The 23,886-nt window shown below is 37.6% G+C and overlaps 1 protein-coding gene across 5 annotated transcripts in view, besides 1 other annotated feature; it reads right to left on the bottom strand.

Moving 5' to 3' along the window:
• The window catches only part of IFT74 (intraflagellar transport 74), a 119,025-nt gene that overhangs the window by 78,783 nt on the left and 16,356 nt on the right, over positions 1-23,886 (bottom strand). For all 5 annotated transcript variants that reach the window (NM_001099223.3, NM_001099222.3, NM_001349928.2 and 2 more), the window contains exons 3-6: positions 9,089-9,224; positions 6,733-6,781; positions 2,997-3,095; positions 2,793-2,853 (exon numbers count right to left, since the gene is read on the bottom strand). In NM_001099223.3, coding sequence (NP_001092693.1) covers positions 2,793-2,853; positions 2,997-3,095; positions 6,733-6,781; positions 9,089-9,224 — 345 coding nt within the window. The remainder of the gene's footprint in view (positions 1-2,792; positions 2,854-2,996; positions 3,096-6,732; positions 6,782-9,088; positions 9,225-23,886) is intronic.
• Positions 11,154-11,724: an enhancer, noted in NCBI's record as "H3K27ac hESC enhancer chr9:26975626-26976196 (GRCh37/hg19 assembly coordinates)". NCBI's record gives its function as "activates a minimal SCP1, AML or CMV promoter by ChIP-STARR-seq in primed H9 embryonic stem cells {active_cell/tissue: H9 hESC(primed)}" and the evidence as "EXISTENCE:reporter gene assay evidence [ECO:0000049][PMID:30033119]".

The following is a 23,886-nucleotide window of genomic DNA, read 5'->3' as shown; positions in this document are numbered from 1 at the left end:
TTGGGAGGCTGAGGCGGGTGGATCACGAGGTCAGGAGTTTGAGATCAGCCTGGCCAACATGGTGAAACCCCTTCTCTACTAAAAATACAAATATTACCCAGGCACCTGTAATCCCAGCTACTCAGGACCGCACCTGTAATCCCAGCTGGTGGCAAGCGCCTGTAATCCCAGCTACTCAGGAGGCTGAAGCAGGATAATCACTTGAACCCAAGAGGCGGAGGTTACAGTGAGCCAAGATCACGCCACTGCACTCCGGCCTGGATGACAGAGCGAGACTCCATCTCAAGAAGAACAAAAAAACAAAAAAAAACTATTTTGCTCACATTTAAAACAGAACATCATTTACTAAAGAAAATCCCAGTGAATAATGGGCTCTACAAAATGTTTGTGATGAATTGTGTAGTCCAGGAAATTTAAGAATTATAAGAGGGCTGGGTGCAATGGCTCATGCTTATAATCCCAGCACTTTGGGAAGCTGAAGCAGGAGGATCACTTGAGCCCAGGAGTTCAAGACCATTGTGGGCAACACAGCAAGTCCCCATCTCTCCAAAAAATTTAAAAATTAGCCAGGCATGCTGGCATGCACCTGTAGTCCCAGCTACTTGGGAGGCTGATGCAGGAAGACCACTTGTGCCCAGGAGTTTGAGGCTGCAGTGAACTACAATCATGCTACTGCACTTCAGCCAGAGCAACAGAGCAAGACCCTATCTCTAAAAAAATTAAAAAATAAAAATAGTCCAGGCACAATGACTCAAGCCTGTAATCCCAGCACTTTGGGAGACCAAGGTGGGCAGATCACTTGAGCCCATGAGTTTGAGACCAGTATGGGCAACAAGGCCAAATCTCATCTCAACAAAAAATACAAAAAATTAGCCTGGTGTGATGGCATGTGCCTGTAGTCCCAGCTGCTTGGGAGGCTTAGGTGGGAGGATCAATTGAGCTCAGAAAGTCTAGGCTGCAGCGAGCCATGATTGAGCCACTGCATTCCAGCTTGGGCAACAGAGCAAGACTGTCTTGAAAAAAAAAAACAACAAAAAAACAAAAAACAAAACCCACCACCACCACCAGTAACAACAACAAAAACAAAAATAAAAAGTTATACTATAATTAGCAAAATTTTTGATAAGCACAAGGTAACACTATCAAGTAGGTATATCATAACTTATCTTATCCTAACCATTATGATAGAATGTTTATTTCTTGTAACACTATTTCTTAATAAGGGTAGTGAGATAAAAATTTGACTTTTTCATTAAATCCAGACATCACTGCTCCTAAAGCAACTAAAGAGTTAGAAAAAAGAAAATTCTGACACTAGAAATTTTCATGGGGCCAATATCACCCAAGGACTGAGCAGTTATCAATATTGCCAGGGGGACTGTTTCTTCTGAAAGTCCACAGGTAGAAGCATCTTTAGTGGAACTATATCATGTTATATACTCTATTTTGACAATGTACACAATATTTCGAGTAAAACATCAAGATGGTGGAAATCTGTATGTTTAATAATTAAATTTCAAAATTTTCAAGATGACAACACTTGATAAAAAATGTGTTTTTAAAGCAATGATCACTGATAGGACCAATACATTTTAGCCACTTTTAAAATTATTTAAATTATTATTTTAACATATTTTAGGGAGAAAAGCATGTGTGCATTTGTGTATGTGTCAGTAAACGTATTTTACAAAAAACAATGGAAGAATATATATTAATCTGTTAAGCCAAGTTATTTCTGGGGAGGGAAATGAAGCAGAAAGTAAAGGGATACTTTATTTGTTGTAATTTTTATGGTTTCATCTTTCCCAATAAGTATGTATTCATGTACTATTTGGTATTTTAAATAATAAATTAATAAATATATTTTTTCATCAAATGTTTTATTGTTTTTGAAATTTTTGAAATTTTTATTTTAGGTTCAGGGGTACATGTGCAGGTTTGTTTTACAGATAAACTGTCATGGGGGTTTGTTGTGCAGATTATTTAATCACCTAGGTAACTAAGCTAATACCCATTAGTTATTTTTTCTGATCCTTTCCCTCCTTCCAGCCTCCAAACTCAAGTAGATCCCATTATCTGTTGTTCCCATCTATGTGTTATCATTTAGCTCCCACTGGTAAGAGAGAACATGCAGTATTTGGTTTTCTTTTCCTGTGTTAGTTTGCTAAGGATAATGACCTCCAGCTCCATCCATGTTCCTGCAAGGGACATGATCTTTTTCTTTTTTATGACTGCATAGTATTTCATGGTATAGGTACCACATTTTCTTTAACCAATCTGCCACTGATGGGCATTTAGGTTGATTCCATGTCTTTGCTACTGTAAACCGTGCTCCAATGAACACACATGTGCATGTGTCTTTATGGTAAAATGATTTATATTCCTTTGGGTATACATCCAGTAATGGGATTGACGGGCTGAATGGTAGTTCTGTTTTCAGCTTTTTGAGGAATCGCCACACTGCTTTCACAGTGGTTGAACTAATTTACACTCTCACCAACAGTGTATAAGCATTCCCTTTTCTCTGCAATTTCACCAGCATCTGTTATTTTTGACTTCTTAGTAACAGCCATTCTAACTGGTGTGAGATGGTATCTCATTATTCTTTTGATTTGCATTTCCCTAATCATCATCAGTGATGATGAGCTTCTTTTCATATGCTTGTTGGCTGCATGTTTGTCTTCTTTTGAAAAGTATCTGTGCATGTCCTTTGCCTACTAATGTATTTTTAAAGCAGTAGTAAAAACTAATGAAAATATTAACAGTAAATTCTCTTAGAAAAGATAAAATACCATGTTGTAGTCTGCTAGTTGTCCTTGAAGCTCTTTTATCTCAACAGCTAAAGTCTCAGCCCTGAAAGCATAAAATAAATACATTCATAAATATGTACATAAAAATATACATAAGAAAATGAACATTACAAACAATATGGATAGCTACAAAGTTAGTATTATAAGCACAAAATACTGAATGAATACTGAATACTTATTACTCACCTCTTTTCATATGACAAATATACTGAATTCTCTTGATTGTACATTTCTATTCCCTTCTGAAGTTTATTAACTTCAGTTGTAAGTTCACTTATTTTACTTCTATTAGAAAAGAAATAAGAATGTCAGCAATACTTTTAATCCAGAAAACTCTAGTTAAGCAAAATTTAAACTTTCCATTAATACGTAATAATAATATAAATAGTTTTGTGAAATTCACTAAAAGAATGCAGAAAGTTTAGGTGGCTTATTTCATTAAGAATGAGGTATATTCTGGCTGGGTGCGGTGGGTCAAGCCTGTAATCCCAACACTTTGGGAGGCCGAGGCAGGCGCATCACGTGAGGTCAGGAGCTCAAGACAAGCCTGGCCAACATGGTGAAACCCCATCTCTATTCAAAATACAAAAATTAGCTGGGCATGGTGGCACACGCCTGTAGTCCCAGCTACTAGGGAGGCTGAGGCAGGAGAATAGCTTAAATCTGGGAGGTGGAGACTGTAGTGAGCCAAGATCGTGCCACTACACTCCAGCCTGGGAGACAGAGGGAGACACCATCTCAGAAAAAAAAAAAAAAAAAAAAAAAGAATGAGGTATATCCCATCCTATTCTACTCAACTGATGAGAAACTGAGGAGAAACTGACATAGATTCATGAAGAAAGATGAAATAGAACCAGAATGAAAGCCTGGTCAAACTAGTACAAGCCACAGGCAGATGTAGGTGCTTAACTGTCATCATCACAGCTGCTACTACCCTCTAGAGCACAGTTTCTCAACAGTAGCACTAATGACATTTTGGGTCAGTGATTAGCACCTCGTGTTGAGCACTATCTTGTACACTGCAGGATGTTTACCAGCATCCTGGATCTGAGTATCAGTAGCACTTCCTCCAACCTCACTTGTGACAACCAGAAACATGTATAGAAATTGCCAAATGTTCCCTGGGGGCAAAATCACCACCAGTTGAGAACCACTGCTCTAGAGCCAGACAATTACACAAATAGCTAGAACTATTCTTTGATGTGGAAGCACAAATCCTGGGGGAGAAAGGCAATGCAATCATTAGGAATAACTATATTTCCTTTCCTTCTTTTGATTAAAAAGTGGCTGAATGTCAGAGATACTAAACAACTGATGGCCTTACTATCTTTCTTACTACTCTTAGCTTTGAGAACAGATGGGGGGAAACCATACTTTTCTTTATTGCCTTCTAGGAGTTTGAGACTCAATAGGATCCAGGTAACTGAGAAATAAAAGAAAACAGGGCTTTCAGGGCATGATGGGAGGGTGGATTAAACAAAAGCGAAATAAAAGAGAAAGAAGATACAAATAATGTGCCAAAAAGAAAATGAAGTAAAATGGGAAGATGGAGATAGGACAGTAGAACAAGTAAGTGGGAAAATAGTAAGAATAAGAAAAAGTCATTGATTTAGAGATGCATCCCCAGAGACATATAACAAAAGTTTATGAGGCCGAGTGCGGCAGCTCACGCCTGTAATCCCAGCACTTTGAAAGGCATAGGCAGGTGCATTACCTGAGGTCAGGAGTTCAAGACTAGCCTGGCCAAAATGGTGAAACCCCCATCTCTACTAAAAATACAAAAATTAGGCCAGGTGCAGTGGCTCACACCTGTAATCCCAGCACTCTAAGAGGCCAAGGTGGGCAGATCACCTGAGGTTGGGAGTTCGAGACCAGCCTGACCAACATTGAGAAACCTCGTCTGAACTAAAAATACAAAATTAGCTGGGCATGGTGGTGCACACCTGTAATCCCAGCTACTCGGGAGGCTGAGGCAGGAGAATCACTTGAACCCGGGAGGCGGAGGTTGCGGTGCCAGAGATCAGGCCATTGCACTCCAGCCTGGGCAACAAGAGCAAAACTCTGTCTCAAAAAAAAAAAAAAAAAAAAAATACAAAAATTAGCCAAGTGTGGTGGCAGGCACCCGTAATCCCAGCTACTTGCAGATTACAGGCACGAGGCTGAGGCAAGAGAATCACTTGAATCCAGGCGGTGGAAGTTGCAGTGACGTGAGATCCCATCATTGCACTCCAGCTTGGGTGACAAGCAAAACTCCGTCTCAAAAAAAAAAGAAAAAAAGCTTATGAATTAATTAAAATTAGGCCACATTGGTAGCAACTGACCAAATACATACTTATGTAAAACTTACTGATTAATATAACATAAATAAGTATACATATTTTCCCTTTCTTATTAGATGTAGCTGGTAACATTTTAATGATATGAGTAACACGTTTCAGATTAATTACTGAAAAAAAACATAGAAGATTATTCTTGGCCAGGTGCGGTGGCTCAGCCTATAATTTCAGCACTTTGGGAGGCTGAGGCAGGTGCATCACCTGAGGTCAGGAGTTTAAGACCAGCCTGGCCAATATGGTGAAAGCCCACCTCTACTAAAAAATACAAAAATTAGCCAGGCATGGTGGCGCATACCTGCAGTCCCAGCTACTCACGAGGCTGAGGCAGGAGAATAGCTTAAACCCGGAAGGCAGGGGTTGCAGTGAGCTGAGATCACACCACTGCACTCCAGCCTGGGCGACAGAGTGAGACTCTATCTCAAAAAAAAAAAAAAAAATTATTCTTATCATTAGATGAAAAAAGTGAACTTTTAAAATGCTACAAGGGGTTGGGCGCGGTGGCTCATGCCTGTAATCCCAGCACTTTGGAAGGCCGAGATGGGCAGATCATTTGAGGTCAGGAGTTCGAGACAAGCCTGGCTGACATGGTGAAATGCCACCTCTACTAAAAACACACACACAAAATTAGGTGGGTGTGGTGGCAAACGCCTGTAATCCCAGCTACTTGGGAAGCTGATGCAGGAGAATTGCTTAAACCTGGGAGACAGAGGTTGCAGTCAACCGAGATCATGCCACTGCACTCCAGCCTGAGCCACAGAACAAGACTCTGTCTCAAAAAAAAAATGCTATGAGGCCAGGTGTGGTGGTAGCTTATGCCTATAATCCCAGCACTTTGGGAAGCTGAGGCAGGAGGATCACTTCAACCCAGGAGTTCAAGGTTGCAGTGAGCTGTGATCATGCCACTGCACTCCAGCCTGGGCAACAGAGTGAGACTCTGTCTCTAAAATATAAATAAAATAAAATAAGTTTGCTATGGTTTGAATGTTTGAGTCCCTCTGAAATTCATATCAAAACTTAATCTCTAATGCAATAGTATTAAGAGGTAGGGACTTTAAGAAGTAATCAGGACATGACGACTCTGCCCTCATGGATGGGATTAGTGCCTTAGAAAAGGGTTGAAGGAAACTAGCTCAGCACCTTTTGCCCTTCCACTCTTCTGCCATGAGGACACCTTGACGGCACTATCTGTGAGAAACAGGTGCCCACCAGACACTGAAGCTGCTGGCACCTTGATCTTGGACTTCTGCGTCTCCGGAACAGTAAGAAATAAATTCCTATAAGTTACCCAATCTCAGGTATTTTATTATAGCAGCACAAACAAACTGAGGGAAAATATAGCTCATGTACATGCAAATTCATAAAACTATAAATCTCAGACTAATTATACTATCACATTTATTTTACAGCATAGCCAAATTAACCAGAAATTGTTAGAATACAAAATAATTTTTAGAAATCAATAGATACCTAATTATCCTAATAAGTGCCTAGCTAAAACTTCATATTAAAGTTATATACTCTATTTTGACAGAAGGTACACAATATTTCGAGTAAAACATACGGATGAAAAGATATGTTTAACATACCTAAGAAGCCCAAGATAGTAAGATTTGTCTAAAATTTGCCTCTGGGGACCTAAAAAAAAATGTTTTAAGTGTTAGTGTTCAGTTCGAAATGCCACCAGAATAGCAAATCCAAAGCACAATCAGAATTACACTCCACAATTCTCAAGACAGTCTTCATGAATGCCCCAATGAATCAAGAAGAATCACTGAAACTGAAAAGAGAACTAATACCTTAGAATCACAACATAAGGGAAGCTTCAATTAAAACTACGAAGATGGGACTAGAGGTGGGGCTGTTAAAAGACAGTAGACTCTACAGAACAGGACGATGGAATGAAAATTGAGTCTAAGGGAATCTGGAACAGAGCTGTCCAGAGTAACTTTCTGCAGTGACAGAAATATTCTAAATTAACACTGTCCAATAAAGTGGACAGAGGGACTACAGAAGCACTTAAAATTTGGCTGGTGCTACTGGGGAACTAATTTAAATTTCTGACTACTGGCTGTCATACTGGACACTGCAGACATTACTCAATGTGAGAAAGTGACTATGATTTTTTATCATTTGTCTCAGAGACTTTTTAAGAAATGGTCTTACATTTCAGTAGAACTAAGAAAGTATTCCTGGCCGGGCACGGTGGCTCACACCTGTAATCCCAGCACTTTGGGAGGCTGAGGTGGGAGGATCCCTTGAGGTCAGAAGTTCAAGACCAGCCTGGCCAATATGGTGAAACCCCATCTCTACTAAAAATACAAAAAAATTAGCTGGGCATTGTGGCATGTGCCTGTAAGCCCAGCTACTCAGGAGGCTGAGGCAGGAGAATTGCTTGAATCTGGGATGCGGAGGTTGCAGTGAGCCAAGATCACATCACTGCACTCCAGCCTGGGCGACAGAGAAAGACCCCATCTCAAAAAAAAAAAAAAAAAAAAAAAAAAAGAAAGTGTTCCTAGGTTAAATGTCTCAAACCTTGTAAGAGATGAAGTGCCCTGCAAAGTATGAGAGGTAAAACTAGGTGTATTAACTATAAGGTCTATGCTGAGAAGTAGAGGTAGTATCTTATTATACTGGGAAATGGGGCACTAGAGAAGGTAAGAATGAAAGTCACAGTAGACAGTTCTGTGTAGTGGTAATGTTCCGAATTCTCTCTTAAAAGGCTTTGAAGTATACTTGTAGAGACTAACAATCTTAAATTATATTGGTTCTGTTTTGAAGGATAAATTAATACAGAAATAAACATTTGATAAATTTACTATAGAATTTTAATATGTTTTTACCCTCGATGTTTTAAAATACTATTAAACATATAAATATTTCTGTGCATCCACTTTCAAAAGGCTAGTTAAATGACTATGTAATTTTGAAATATTTTTTCATGGTACTGATAATCATTAAGCAAACATTTCTAAATAATCAATTCATTTTTAATATTTAGTGATTTAGATGTTATTAGAATGTAGATGAAAAAATTTAAGTCTCAAAAAAAAAAAATTTAAGTCTCTTGAAAGGGATGATATACTGTATTATAGAAAGTAGCATGTATGATATAATTAATTTTGTACTAGCAGTATATCTTCATTCCTGATAGATCATCTGTCAAAAATACAGAAAACGAAAAACTCTGAAACAGCTCACCACAGGCTACTGACCACTGCCTATGATAAAAAGAAAAGAAAAAGGAGTTTACCATAGTTTGGTTTATATATACCACAGATCTAAATTTTAAACTCTAATATATAGTATATTCTTATGCTTCTCTAAATACATATGCAGAAGCATAATGAGAGATTTAATATAAATCTAGGAAATTAGATTAATATAAATGAGGAAATTAGCCTCATTTCCTTACATAAGTATTAGAACAGATGCTAATTATCAGAAAAAAAGTAACATTTCTTGACTCACTTCTCATAAATACACAAGTATTTTAAGTGTCATTTTAATATAGGAACTATCTAAACTATTTCAGAGTATTTCTATATAGTACCAAAAATCTAATTTTCAATCTTGAACTTTTCTCCAAGACTATTTCAAAGTTCTTCAAGTTGTACTACAGCTCCATGTCAGAAAAATGAAGACTGAAATAGCTCATATCTGTATATAGCTTTCTAATTCAAACTGTATTTTCATATTCACTCTGTTGTTTAACCATCACAATAATTTTGTGAATCAAAGAATAACGATTAGATGCCATAATTCTGATTACATGCCATAATTACATGTAATAATTCTTACATGCTATAATCCTGATTTAAAAAAATGGTACTGTAATACTTATTGTTCAAAATATACTCAACTTTTACTTTTTTAAATTGTTCACAGTTATTTATTTCTTACAAAACACAGGCCCAAGTGTCATACTTATCTTAAAATAGGTACCTTTCGTCCCAGTTTTCATTCCAGTCAAACCTTGTTGTGTTACAGGGCGATGGGCAACTTTGATTTGAGAAGACAGAACTCCACCAGTCCCTATGGGACAACCACGAGAACCTGGTCTTGCTGTCCCAGGTGGCATCTAAATGACAAACAAGATTTCATTTTTAGTAAACCAGAAAAAACACTGTACATCTTTTATTGTAAAACTGCAAAGACAATTTTTTAAAAAAACAAAATTCTACTTGATTTGTAAAAATTTCCTTATTTTTTAAATGTCTGAATTATTAAATACTGTTGTTCAATTTATTAACATATTTCTTTAACATTTAATGTTCTATGACTATTTAAAAATACATTTCAGGAAAATTTTAAATTCTATATGTAGACATTATTTATAATACCTCAAAACTGGAAAGGAGTTAAATGTCCACAGCAGAAAATGGTTAAATAAGCTGCAGTATATAAAAAGGGCAGTTTAAGTTGGGTGTGGTGGCTCACGCCTGTAATCCCAGCACTTTGTGAGGCCAAGGCAGGTGGATCATGTGAGGTCAGGAGTTCAAAACCAGCCTGGACAACATGGCAAAACCCCATCACTACTAAAAATACAAAAGTTATCCAGGCGTGGTGGCACACGTCTGTAATCCCGGCTACTTGAGAGGCTAAGCCATGAGAGTCGCTTGAATCTGGGAGGTCAAGGCCGCAGTGAGCCGAGATCATGCCACTGCACTCTAGCTTGGGCGATAGAGTGAGACTCAGTCTCAAAATAAGTAAATAAAATAAAAATTAAAAGGCAGTTTACAAGATGGTATTTATAATTCCGTTTTTGTTTGTTTTAGAGACAAGGGCTCACTATGTTATTCAGGCTGGTCTTGAACTACTGGCCTGAAGAGATCCTTCTGCCTCAGCTATCCAAGTAGCTGGGATTACAGGTGAGAATCACTGTGCCTGGTTCAAAACTCTACTTTTTTAAAACAAAAAAAGGCTGGAAGTTTGGGCATGGTGGCATGCACCAACAGGCCCAGCTACTTGGCAGTCTGAGATGAGAAGATTATTTAAAACCCAGGAGTTCGAGGCCAGCCTGGAGAACATAGAGAGACCGTCTTTTAAAAAAACAAAAAATATAGACAAAAATAAAAATTTTAAAAACTATGTGAAAAAATAGTAATGATGATCGATAATGATATTATAGTTGATTTTTATTTTCTCCTTTATACAATTTGGTATTTTCCGCCTTATTGCAATGAGTATCTATTACCCTTAAAAATCAGGAAAAAATAAGAAAACTTTAATCTTGTAAAAACAAATGGATATAAATCCATCCTAAGATGACCATGTAAGTACTAAAGGGCTTACATTGTTAAACAAGCATTCATATTATTACTCAACAAGATTCTCTACTTCAGGTATGCAAAATCCAACATAACACTATACGACCTCAGGAAAGGCCAAAAGACTCCCTTTATGTCAGTTCATATAATACATACAGGCATGAGAAGATATAAAAGATGTGAGATATGGCAAGGTTTCTCTTCAAATAGCCTGCTCAGCTACTTATTCTCTAATTCCAGGTACCCCCTGCCTTTCTTCTCCTTTTTTCTTCTTTCTGATTTTACTACATGCCCAGGCATGCCACAGCCCCAGCTCACATTCCTTTCCTTATTTAGGAAAAGACTGGCTCTCTAGTCCTCTGTAGATGACCCCTTCCTCCTCTCCCCTCTCTCCCATCATGCGCCCACCTTATCTAAGAAAGTTTAAATGTTTAGCCAATTGGGTCTAGTTTAGATTGTGCAGTCCGACCCCAGCCAATGGGGAAAGGGCACGAGGGCAGGAGTCACATTAGGAATAAAAGCTTCTACTCTACTTTCTTCAGTGTGCTCTCATGACAAGCAGCCCTGTAAGAAGCACCCTACTGCGCAAAAGTAAATTTGCTTTGCTGAGAAATCCTTTGTTTGAGTACTCGTCTTTCTTTACGACTTCAAGCTTTCTTTCTAACAATTCTGGGGGCTTGTCGGGGATTCCCATTCTCCTTCAAGAAGAGGTCTTCAGTCACCCCACCCAGGGGGAGACGTGTCCCACTGTCGCATTGCAGTGGCCTCAGGGATGGGAGACTGAGACCCACCCATTGTGACAAACAAATCCAAGCTCTCAGCAATGGGGAAAGGAGAGGCTTACAACACCGCGGCGACCAAGTAACTCTGTGCACAGACCAAGGTGAAAAACGGTACAAGAACAACAAAGTATTTCCTAGGTGGTCAGGGTATCTTGGAGGATAAAAGTGTATGTAGATGATGTTAACACTACTGCTGTGTGGATTGAGTGGGTCCTATCTGCACGGTCCCGTGGTCACCTCATGTGGCAGATCCTGCCATTTCCCACAAGGGAAGCAGCCAGAGTGGAAAAAGCGAAAGAAGGATGCAAGGAGCCTCCAACAGGTGGGGCTAAAGGATAGGCAAGAAATCTCTAATACGAGGGACTGAGCCTTAACAATGCCTATGGAAATCGATAGGCAAGAAATCTCTAATATGAGGGATTGAGCCTCAGAGCCTCAGTGAGCTTCTGAAAGGACGGAGGGCGAGAAATCTCTAGTAGGAGAGGTTGAGAAGCTCCAGGGAAAGGCCTATTTCAGTTAGACACCATCCCAAACCTCCAAGATGGGAAATGTTTCACGTAAGACAGGAAAAATAAACAGCCAAGCGCGTGATGAAATTCCTCCTGATAGTCCCTTGGGACTTATGTTAAAATATTGGAAAGATAATGAAAGAACTAAACATAAAAGAAAAGAGCAAATGATACAATATTGTTGTTTTATTTGGACTGAAGGCCCATCCTCAAACCCTCAGTTTTCCGGCCAAAATTTGGTTCCAATGAAGAGTGGATTTGTCAGCTCTTAATCGAACATGTTAATGACAAAAGCCCTGTCTCCCAAAAGGAAACAGACTATGCTCTTTTTTGGAGGCAAGAACCTGTCCTCCTTTACCCTTTAAAAACCAGAGGGAACAAGCCAGAAACCAACTCCTCTAAAAGAGAAAGAGTCCCTGTTCCTAAACAACCCACACCCACCAACACATGGGATCCTCTGGATCATCTTCCTCTGCTCAGTGCCCCTGACCCTCCCCCTCAGGCAGCTGCTGCCGCCTCAGGTCTCATTCCAGATCCTTTCCCTGCTCACGTTATTCCTCCTCCTTATAACCCTGACTTTGGGAATTATCATCCCATGAGCCTGTCCCCTCCCAGCCTATTAAGTACCCCTCCCTGAAAGGACTTCAACGTGAGATAGAACAATGTAAAAAGGATATCCAAAATTTCCCATTTCCCTCCACACCTAAGGAGTCAGCCCCGACTCTCTTCCCCTTAAAAGAGGTTCCACAAGGAGGGGGAGCCATTGGCTTTGTAAATATTCCCTTGACCAGTTCAGAGGTGCAAAGTTTGAAAAAAGAGCTTCAGCTCCTGTTGGATGACCCTTATGGGGTGGCTGATTAAGTTGATCAATTCTTAGGACCTCAATTATATACCTGGGTCGAGTTAATATCCATCCCAGGCATCCTCTTTTCGGAGGAGAAAAAAAGCATAACCGTAGGGCTGCTATGGCAATTTGGAAACGTGAATACTCTCCTGGTCAGAATGTCCCTACCGCGGACCAAAAATTTCCCGCTTAAGACCTCAGGTGGGACAATAATAATGCAGCTCACCAGGAAAACATGGAAGATCTAAGGGAAATGATAATAAAAGGAATTAAGGAATCAATACCCCAAACTCAAAACCTCTCTAAAGCATTTGATATACAACAACAAAAAAAGATGAGGGGCCTATAAAATTCTTAGACAGGCTAAAGGAGCAAATGAAACAGTATGCAGGCCTAAATTTGGAAGATCCCCTTGGGCCGGGTATGTTTAAGCTCCATTTTGTCACTAAGAATTGACTAGATATTTCAAAAAAGTTACAAAAATTGGAAAATTGGGAAGACCGACCGCTAAGTAAACTTCTCAGGAAAGCTCAAAAAGTGTATGTAAGGAGAGACGCAGAAAAGCAAAAACAAAGAGCAAAACTTATGCTATCCACCTTTCAACAGGTGGCTCCAAACCCATATGCTTCTCAACAAGACTTCCAGGGAGCCAAGAACTATAAAGGATCCAAAAAACCCCCGTTCAAAGGAACCAAGCCTCCAATTAGAGGATCTGGGCCTTCATTTCCTAGGCCCTCTAAAGAGTGTGGGGGAGCAAAGTCAAAGAATCCCAGAATTGAAAGGGAGGAAGGACAAGATAAATGTTACAAATGTGGAACAGGCCACTTCAAGAGACAATGTCCCAAATTAAAAAGGGAAAAAGAAGTCCTTCCACTCATGACTTTCAAGGAAGAATAGGGGAGTCAGGGTCTCTGTCTCTTTTAATTTGAGTCCCACCAGGAGCTCTTGATAAATTTGGAGGTGGGACCTAAATGTGAACTTATCACCTTTTTAATTGATTCAGGAGTGTCTCACTCCTCTGTTTGTCTCACTCCATCTAATCTTGCTGGCTCTTCAGAAGAACTGGGGTAAAAGGAGAAGGAGAAGGATTTAAGGCAAAAATCTTGGAAAATACAAAAGTCAAACATCAAGATCTATTAACTCACATTCAATTTTTGTTGATCCCTGAGGTGGGAACTAATCTATTAGAAAAAGACTTAATGCTAAAATTAGGAATAGGCCTTCAAGCTGGCCCTAAGGGATTCCTCACCTCATTAAATCTACTCACCACTGTGGACGAAAAATACATTCATCCTGATGTCTGGTCAAGAGAAGGGAATCGAGAAAAACTTCAAGTTCCCCCAATAGACATCAAACTAAAAACTCCTGGGGACATAGTAAGGAGAAAGCAATACCCCATTCCCTTCGAAGGCAGGATAGGGTTAAAGCCTGTAATTGAGAGTCTCATTAAAGATGGACTCCTTAAACCCTGTATGTCTCCCTATAATACCCCAATCCTGCCTGTCAAGAAATCAGATGGGTCATACTGATTAGTACAAGACTTCAGAGCTATTAACCAGATAGTCCAGACCACTCAACCTGTTGTCCCCAACCGTTACACCATTCTCAGCCAAATTCCTTATGATCATCAGTGGTTCACAGTAATAGATTTGAAGGATGCTTTCTGCGCATGCCCCTTGGCTGAGGATAGCCGAGACATATTTGTCTTTGAGTGAGAAGATCCCCATTCTGGGCAAAAACAACAATATTGATGGACAGTCTTACCCCAAGGGTTTACAGACTCCCCTAACGTCTTTGGTCAAATTCTAGAACGAGTATCAGAAAAAGTTCTTGTCCCAAAGCAAATATGCCTGCTTCAGTATGTGGATGATATTCTCATATCTGGTGAAGATATAAAAAAAGTGGGTGACTTCTCTATACATATTCTTAACCACCAACAGTTTGAGGGGTTATGGGTCTCAAAAGGAAAGCTTCAATATACAGAGCCCGAAGTTAAATATTTAAGCCACCTAATAAGTGCAGGCAAGCAAAGAATAAGGCCCGAATGGATTGAGTGAATTGTGTCCTTACCCCTGCCTCAAACTAAGCAAGAACCAAAAAAATTTTTAGGATTAATTGGATATTGCTGTGTATGGATTGACTCATACTCACTAAAAAGTAAATTTTTGTATGAAAAACTTACCCAGTGGAAGCCTGACCGTCTCTTGTGGACTTCGATAAAATTCATCAGATTGAAGAGCTGAAACAGATGTTCATAACTGCCCCTGTTCTAGCCCTATCTTCCCTAGAAAAGCCATTTCACGTTTTTGTTAATGTGAATGACAGGGTAGCTTTAGGAGTGCTTACCCAAAAGCATGGAGGCAACCGGCAGCCCGTGGCCTTCCTGTCAAAAGTTTTAGACCCAGTCACCTGTGGATGGCCTCAATGCATCCAGTCCATTGCAGCTAGAGCAGTGTTGGTTGAAGAAAGTAAAAAGTTAAACTTCGGAGGAAAATAGACAGTAAGCACGCCCCACCAAGTTAGAACTATCTTAAACCAAAAAATAGAGAGGTGAATCACTGACTCAAGAATTTTAAAGTATAAGACCATTCTGTTAAAAAAAAAGATGATTTAACATTAACTACTGATAATTCACTCAAACTAGCTAGTTTCTTAACAGGGGATCTAAACCTAAAAAGGGAGCACACATGTTTAGATCTAATTGATTACCATACAAAGGTCTGGCCAGACTTAAGAGAAACTCCCTTCAAGACAGGGTGACACTTATTTATAGATGGGTCCTCCTGGGTAATTGAAGAGAAAAGACATAATGGGTATTCAGTAACTGATGGAAAAACTCTTGAAGAAGTAGAGTCAGAAAGATTGCCCAATAATTGGTCTGCCCAAACTTGTAAACTGTTTGCACTCAGCCAAGCTTTGAAACATTTGCAGAACCAAGAAGGAACTATCTATACTGATTCTAAGTACACCTTTGGAGTGGCTCATACATTGAAAAAAAACTGGACGGAGAATGGTCATAATAGTAAAGGCCAAGACTTGGTCCAAAAAGAACTAATTGTCCATGTCTTAAACAATCTCCAGCTGCCAGAAGAGATAGCTATTGTACATGTCCCAGGGCATCAAAATGACTTTTCCTTCCCAAGTCAAGGAAATAACCTTGCAGATCAAATAGCCAAACAAGCCGCCATTTCTTCTGAAACACCTGTCTTTCACTTAACTCCTTGCCTTCCTTCCCCTACCACAGTCCCCATTTTCTCTTCCACTGAAAAAGAAAAATTAATAAAAATAGGAGCTAAAGAAAACACAGAAGGAAAATGGATATTACCAGATCAAAGAGAGATGTTATCCAAACCTCTCATGAGGGAGGTCTTGTCTCAAGTACATCAAGGAGCCCACTGGAGACCCCAAGCTATGTGCGATGTGGTTTTCAGAGTTTATGGGTGTATCAGAATTTACACCCTAGCCAAACAGGTCACAGAGAGTTGCTTAATATATAAAAAAAACTAATAAGCAAGCTCTAAGAAAATCACTCCTCAGGGGAAGAGATCCAGGGCTAAGACCATTCCAAAGTGTTAAAATTAACTACACTAAAATGCCCCCCATCGGTTGCCTGAAGTATTTATTGATAATAGTGAATCACTTTACTCACTGTGTAGAGACTATCTCCTTCTCAAGCGCAACTGCTAGTAATGCAGTTATAAAGGCATTAATTGAAAACATCATACCCAGGTTTAGACTAATAGAAAACATTGATTCAGACAATGAAACCCATTTCATGGCACATGTCATTAGAGAGTTAGCACAGGTGCTAGACATAAAATGGGAATACCATATCCCTTGGCATCCACCCTCTTCAGGAAGAGTAGAAAGAATGAACCAAACCCTAAAAAGTCAACTGACCAAATCAGTCCTAGAAACCCGGTTACCCTGGATTAAATGTCTCCCCATTGCCTTGTTAAGAATCACAACCACCCCTTGAAAAGATGTCAGTTTATCCCCTAATGAATTACTTGGGAATTATTTTGAGCATAGGGGCCAGGAATAGTACTAATTCTAGAGAATGTGTTGGACACAGGAAGACTGTCAACTACAAATTCAAATAAAATGAGTTAAGGGTTAACCCGAGTGATCTTTAGAAGACAATGTTATATCTCTTCCTGGTAAATGTTCTGAATAATTTCTTCTTTGGCTTTATGCAAGCATAACTGTGAGACCTACTCAACTAATTATGCTACTTTTTGTTTTCCATTCACCAGGTCAAAGTATAGAGAAGAACATATAAATTAAAACTGTACACATTAAAAATAATGAAGTGGATGTATATGTATTCACTTGGCCACATATTCATAATATATTGCTGAAAGAAATAGATGAGAAAAATAACAATGTATACAGTACTATCTTGATTTTGGAACAGTCCAAAGTCATACAAACTGTGTATGTATGTGTGTGTGTTTATAAATACATTAAAAAGTCTAGAAGATACAGTTGATAGTGGTTATACCTACAATAGGAAGGAACTCTGATACTTCTCCATTGTTTGTATGTTTTACTACAAGCACTACTATTTTCAAAAATGCAAATATTAAATAGGTGAAGTCACTGCAAAGAAAAAGTCATTTTTGCAATGCCCTCACCACAGCATATTATCAGAATGTCTGAAGTCAATGCGAAGGAAAGAATTTTAAAATTAATAAGAGAAAAGTATCTAGTCACCTACAAAGACAATCCTATCAGAATAAAAGCAGACCTTTCAGTGGAAATTAAAAAAAACAACAACAAATAAAAAAGAGAATAGGAAGTCATTTTCGAAGTGCTAAGGAAAAAACCAAAAAACAAAACAAAACAAAAAAATTGTCAGCCACGAATTTTATACCCTGACAGGATAAGATTCATAAATGAAGGAGAAATAAAGTATTTCCAGGACAAGCAAATGCTGAGGGAATGTGTCACCACTAGGCCATTCCTAAAGTAAATGTTCAAAGGGGTCTTCAACATAGAAATTAAAGGTGGATATACAGTATCACAAAAACGCATAAAAATATTAAACTCACAGTTCTTATAGAACAATCACAAAGGAAGAGGACAAAATAATCAAATACCAACATGAAAGAATTTCATCAAAACATAAAGATAAAAAGACAGAGAAAAAGAAAGAAACATAATTTATACAACTTAAAAACAACTAACAAAATGACAGGAACAAAGCTTCACATATCATTATTAACTGTGAATGTAATGTAAATGAATTGAAATATTCACTTAAAAGATACATATTAGCAGAAGATTTTAAAAAAACAACAACAACATAATCCAACTATATCCTGACTATGAGAAACGTATCAAGCCCTAAAAGACACACATAGGCTAAAAACAAAAGAGTGGGAAAAGGTATTCCACACTACCAAAAGCAAGCAGGAGTAGCTATACATACATCTTCAAATCAAAAACAGTTTAAAAAAAAAGACAAGAAGATAATTACATAATAATAAAGGAATCAATTAAGCAAGAGATACAACAATCCTAAATATATATGTATCTTCTCTGACCATAATGGAATAAAACCACAAATTGATAACAAGAGGAATTTTGGAAACTATACCAACAAATAGAAATATGTTCCTGAATGACCAGTGGGTCTAAGAAGAGATTAAAAAGGAAATTTTTTAAAACTCTTGAAACAAATTACAATGGAAACACAACATATCCAAAACCTATGTGATACAGCAAAAGGAGCACTAAGAGGAAAGTTTATACCTGTAAGTGCCTACATTAAAAAAGTAGAAAAACAAAATAAACAACCTAATAATGCATATGAAAGAATCAGATAAGCATGAGCAAACCAAACACAAAATTCATATTAGAAATTCATAAAGATCACAGTAGAAATAAATGAAACTGAAACAAAAAAAATATAAAAGATTAATGAAACACAAAGTTGGTGTTTTGAAAAGATAAACAAAATCAACAAACTTTTAGCCAGACTAACTAATGAAAAAAAGAGGGAAGACTCAAATAAATATAATCAGAAATGAAAAAAAGAAGATACTACAACTGATAACAGAAACTCAAAGGATCATTAGAGGCCACTATGAGCAACTCTATGCCAATAAGTTGGAAAATCTGGAAGAAATGAACAAATGACTAAACACATACAACCAACGGAGACTGAACCATAAAGAAATCCAAAACCTGAACAGACCAATAACAATAACGAGATCCAAGCCATAATAAAAAGTGTCCCGGCTGGGCGAGGTGGCTCACGCCTGTAATCCCAACACTTTGGGAGGCTGAGGTGGGCGGATCACGAGGTCAGGAGTTCAAGACTAGCCTGACCAACATGGTGAAACCCAGTCTCTACTAAAAATATAAAAATTAGCCAGACGTGGTAGCACATGCCTATAATCCCAGCTACTTGGGAGGCTGAGAAAGGAGAATCGCTTGAACCCGGGAGGCAGAGGTTGTAGTGAGCAGAGATTGCGTCACTGCACTCCAGCCTGGGCAACAGAGCGAGATTACATCTCAAAAAAAAAAAAAATTTTTTTTTAATTTAAAAAACGTCTCCCAGCAAAGAAAAGCTCAGGACCTGATGACTTCACTGCTGAGTTCCACCAAACATTTAAAAAAGAACTAATACTGATCCTACTAAAACTATTCTGAGAAATAGAAGAGGAGAAAATGCTTTCAAACTCATTCTACAAGACCAGTATTATCCTGATTAAAAAAAAAAAAAAAAAGACAAGACATATGAAGAAAACAGAAAACTATAGGCCAATATCCCTGATGAACATTGGTGCAAAAATCCTCAACAAAGTACCAGCAAACTGAATTAAACAACACATTAAAAAGATCATTTGTCATGACTCACTGGTATTTACCCCAGGTAACTAAAGATAGTTCAACATGTGCAAATCAATCAATGTGATAAATCATACCATCAGACTGAAGGACAAAAGCCTTCCGTTGATATTGTAAAAGCATTTGATGACATTTAACATCTCCTGATGATCAAAATCCTCAAAAAACCAGGTATAGAAGGAACATATCTAAATACAATAAAAGCTATATATGACAGATCCACAGCTAGTATCCTATGGAATGAGGAAAAACTGAAAGCCTTTCCTCTAAGATCTAGAACACAACAAGGATGCCCACTTTCACCACTGTTATTCAACACAGTACTGGAATTCCTGGCTAGAGCAATCAGACAACAAAAAGAAATAAAGGGCATCCAAACTGGAAAGGAAGAAGTCAAATTAACTCTGTTTGCAGATGATATGATCTTATATTTGGAAAAACCTAAAGACTCCACCAAAAAAACTATCTGAACTGATAAATAGTAAATTCAGTAAAACTCAGAAAAATTGCAGGATACAAAAATCAATAGCATTTCTATATGCTAACAGGGAACAACATGAAAAAAATCAAGAAAGTTATCCCATTTACAATAGCTACAAATAAAATAAAATACCTAGGAATTAACCCAAGAAGTGAAAGATCTCTACAATGAAAACTATAAAACACTGATGCAATGAACTGAAGAGAACAACAAAAAATAGAAAGATATTCCATGTTCATGGATTGGAAGAATCAACATTGTCAAAATATCCAGAATATCCAAATTAATCTACAAATTCAATGCAATCCTTGTCAAAATATCAATGACATTCTTCTCAAAAATAGAAAAAAAAATCCTAAAATTTATATAGAACCATAAAAGATCTAGGATAGCCAAACCCATCCTGAATTAAAAAAAAAAGGAAAAGAAAAAGAAAAGCATACTGGCATAAAAACAGAATAGAGAACCCAGAAATAAATCCATATATCTAGAGTGAACACATTTTTGACAAAGATGCAAGGAACATACACTGAGGAAATGCCAGTTTCTTCAATAAATGGTACTGGGAGAACTGGATATCCATAGACAAAAGAATGAAACTAGACCCATATCTCTCACCATATACAAGAATCAAATCAAAATGGATTAAAGACTTAAGACCTCAAACTATGAAACTACTAAAAGAAAACACAGGGGAAATTATCCAGAACATTGGTCTAAGCAAAGATTTCTTGAGTAATATCCCACAAGCAAAGGAAACCAAAGCAAAAATGAACAAATAGAATCACATCAAGTTAAAAAGCACCTGCACAGCAAACAATCAACAAAGTGAAGGGACAACCAACATAATAGGAGAAAATATATGAAAACTATTCATCTGACAAGAAATTAATAAACAGAATATATAAGGTGCTCCAACAACTCACTAGCAAAAAAATCTAATAATACAATAAAAAACGGGCAAAAGGTCTGAATAGACAACTTCTCAAAAGAAGATATACAAACGTCAAACAGGTATACGAAAAGGTGCTCAACATCACTGATCATCAGAGAAATGCAAATCAAAACTACAGTGAGATATCATCTCACTCCAGTTAAAACGACTTTTATCCAAAAGAAAGGCAATAGCAAATGCTGACAAATATATAAAGAAAAGGGAACCTTTGTACAGTGTTGGGGGGAATGTAAGTTAGTATAACTACTATGGAGAACAGTATGGAAGTTCCTCAAAAAACTAAAAATAGAACTATCATATGATCCAGCAATCCCACTGCAAAAGGAAAGAAATCATTATTTCAAAAAGATACCTGCATTCCTATGTTTATCACACTACTTGCCACAATAGCGAATATATGAAAAAAAAACCTGACTGTCCATCAATGGAGATGGAGGGCTACGTAAAGAAAATGTGGTATACATGTATATACATATATATACACACACACATATACACATATATATATATACACATACTATGAAACACTACTCTGCCATAATAAAGAAATCATGTCTTTTGCAGCAATATGGTTGGAACCAGAGGCCATGATCCTAAGTGAAACAATTCAGAAAGAGAAAGTCAAATACCGCATGTTCTCACTTATAAGTGGGAGCTAAACAATGGGTACATACGGACATACAGAGTGAGATAACAGACACTAAAGATTACAAAAGATGAGTGGGAGGAAGGTGAGGGTTGCTAAATTACATATTGGGTACAGTGTTCACTATTCAGGTGATGGGTACACTAAAAGCCCACACTTCATCATTACATAATATATGCATGTAAGACAACTGACCTACCCCATGAATACATACAAATTTTAAAATTTTACAAATAAACAGATAACGTGCCTGGCAAATAGTAGGTGGCCAATAAATGTCAGATTCTTTTTATAAATATTTAATTATCAATTTTTACTGGAATAAAAGAAAAAGATACCCTTACTATCCTATGTATGAAGACTTCAGAAAAATTATTTCAGTCTAAGTTGATGACGATGTCCTAATATTATTACCTGAAACTCTAGAAAAAAAATCTGAAAACTTTAGGAAAATCTGACTTTAACAAAATTATTCCCTCCAAAAAATGCTGCTCTTCTTATGAGTTAACCATAGGACCCAACATTATCTGTAGTTTGCACTTAGCCTACTGTAGGAGGTTGAGTATTGGCCCTCTGCACCTTCTCAGTTGAAATCACCTGTGTGAAAATCAGATAAATTTATGGACATTTTTGTCTATTCATTTATTTCCATTTCAATTCTATGTATTTATAAATTTATGTTTTCTATGTTAAATTGATATCACTTTTAAACTTTTGTTAAAGTATATTATTTTCTGAAATATCTTGAAAGTAGTTTGTAATGACTATCTAACAGCCTTTATAGGGATATACATATCATTATTTAAGATTCACCTGTTGTAAGTCTTCTAGGTTGTTTCCCAATTTTTACATTATAATGATAACGAAAATGTAATAATTATCTTTACAGGATATCCTTCTGCTTAGAATATCAACTCATAAACTTCATCTAACTTTTCCTCATATGATGTGTTTCTCTTATTCACTATTTATGACACACTCTCTTATATTAAGCTCTTTAACATTTACTAGAGTTTACCTCCAGGTGCCGTGGCAATCAGAATATTGTTTCACTCATTGTCTATAACATATTTTACATTAGAGTACTGTACTTTTTCTTATTTTTGTGGTATTGTTCTAGATGAGTTTTAGAATAGTTTTATAATATTACCCCTAGCATCAAAAGAAATGTCATGAAATTTTGATTGGACATAAGGCTTGTGGTCTTAATACAGAAAGAGCACTTAAAAATTAGTAAAGTTTACAACAAATGGAAGAACATTCCATGCTCACGGGTAGGAAGAATCAATATCATGAAAATGGCCATACTGCCCAAGGTAATTTATAGATTCAATGCCATCCCCATCAAGCTACCAATGACTTTCTTCACAGAATTGGAAAAAACTACTTTAAAGTTCATATGGAACCAAAAAAGAGCCCGCATCGCCAAGTCAATACTAAGCCAAAAGAACAAAGCTGGAGGCATCACACTACCTGACTTCAAACTATACTACAAGGCTACAGTAACCAAAACAGCATGGTACTGGTACCAAAACAGAGATATAGATCAATGGAACAGAACAGAGCCCTCAGAAATAACGCCGTATATCTACAACTATCTGATCTTTGACAAACCTGAGAAAAACAAGCAATGGGGAAAGGATTCCCTATTTAATAAATGGTGCTGGGAAAACTGGCTAGCCATATGTAGAAAGCTGAAACTGGATCCCTTCCTTACACCTTATACAAAAATCAATTCAAGATGGATTAAAGACTTAAACGTTAGACCTAAAACCATAAAAACCCTAGAAGAAAACCTAGGCATTACCATTCAGGACATAGGCATGGGCAAGGACTTCATGTCTAAAACACCAAAAGCAATGGCAACAAAAGCCAAAATTGACAAATGGGATCTCATTAAACTAAAGAGCTTCTGCACAGCAAAAGAAACTACCATCAGAGTGAACACGCAACCTACAAAATGGGAGAACATTTTCGCAACCTACTCATCTGACAAAGGGCTAATATCCAGAATCTATCTACAATGAACTCCAACAAATTTACAAGAAAAAAACAAACAACCCCATCAAAAAGTGGGCGAAAGACATCAACCGACACTTCCCAAAAGAAGACATTTATGCAGCCAAAAAACACATGAAACAATGCTCATCATCACTGGCCATCAGAGAAATGCAAGTCAAAACCACAATGAGACACCATCTCACACCAGTTAGAATGGCGATCATTAAAAAGTCAGGAAACAACAGGTGCTGGAGAGGATGTGGAGAAATAGGAACACTTTTACACTGTTGGTGGGACTGTAAACTAGTTCAACCATTGTGGAAGTCAGTGTGGCGATTCCTCAGGGATCTAGAACTGGAAATACCATTTGACCCAGCCATCCCATTACTGGGTATAT

The sequence above is a fragment of the Homo sapiens genome, chromosome 9 (assembly GCF_000001405.40).
Source record: "Homo sapiens chromosome 9, GRCh38.p14 Primary Assembly".
Lineage (NCBI taxonomy): Eukaryota > Metazoa > Chordata > Mammalia > Primates > Hominidae > Homo > Homo sapiens.
This window is presented reverse-complemented; position numbering and strand designations above follow the sequence as displayed.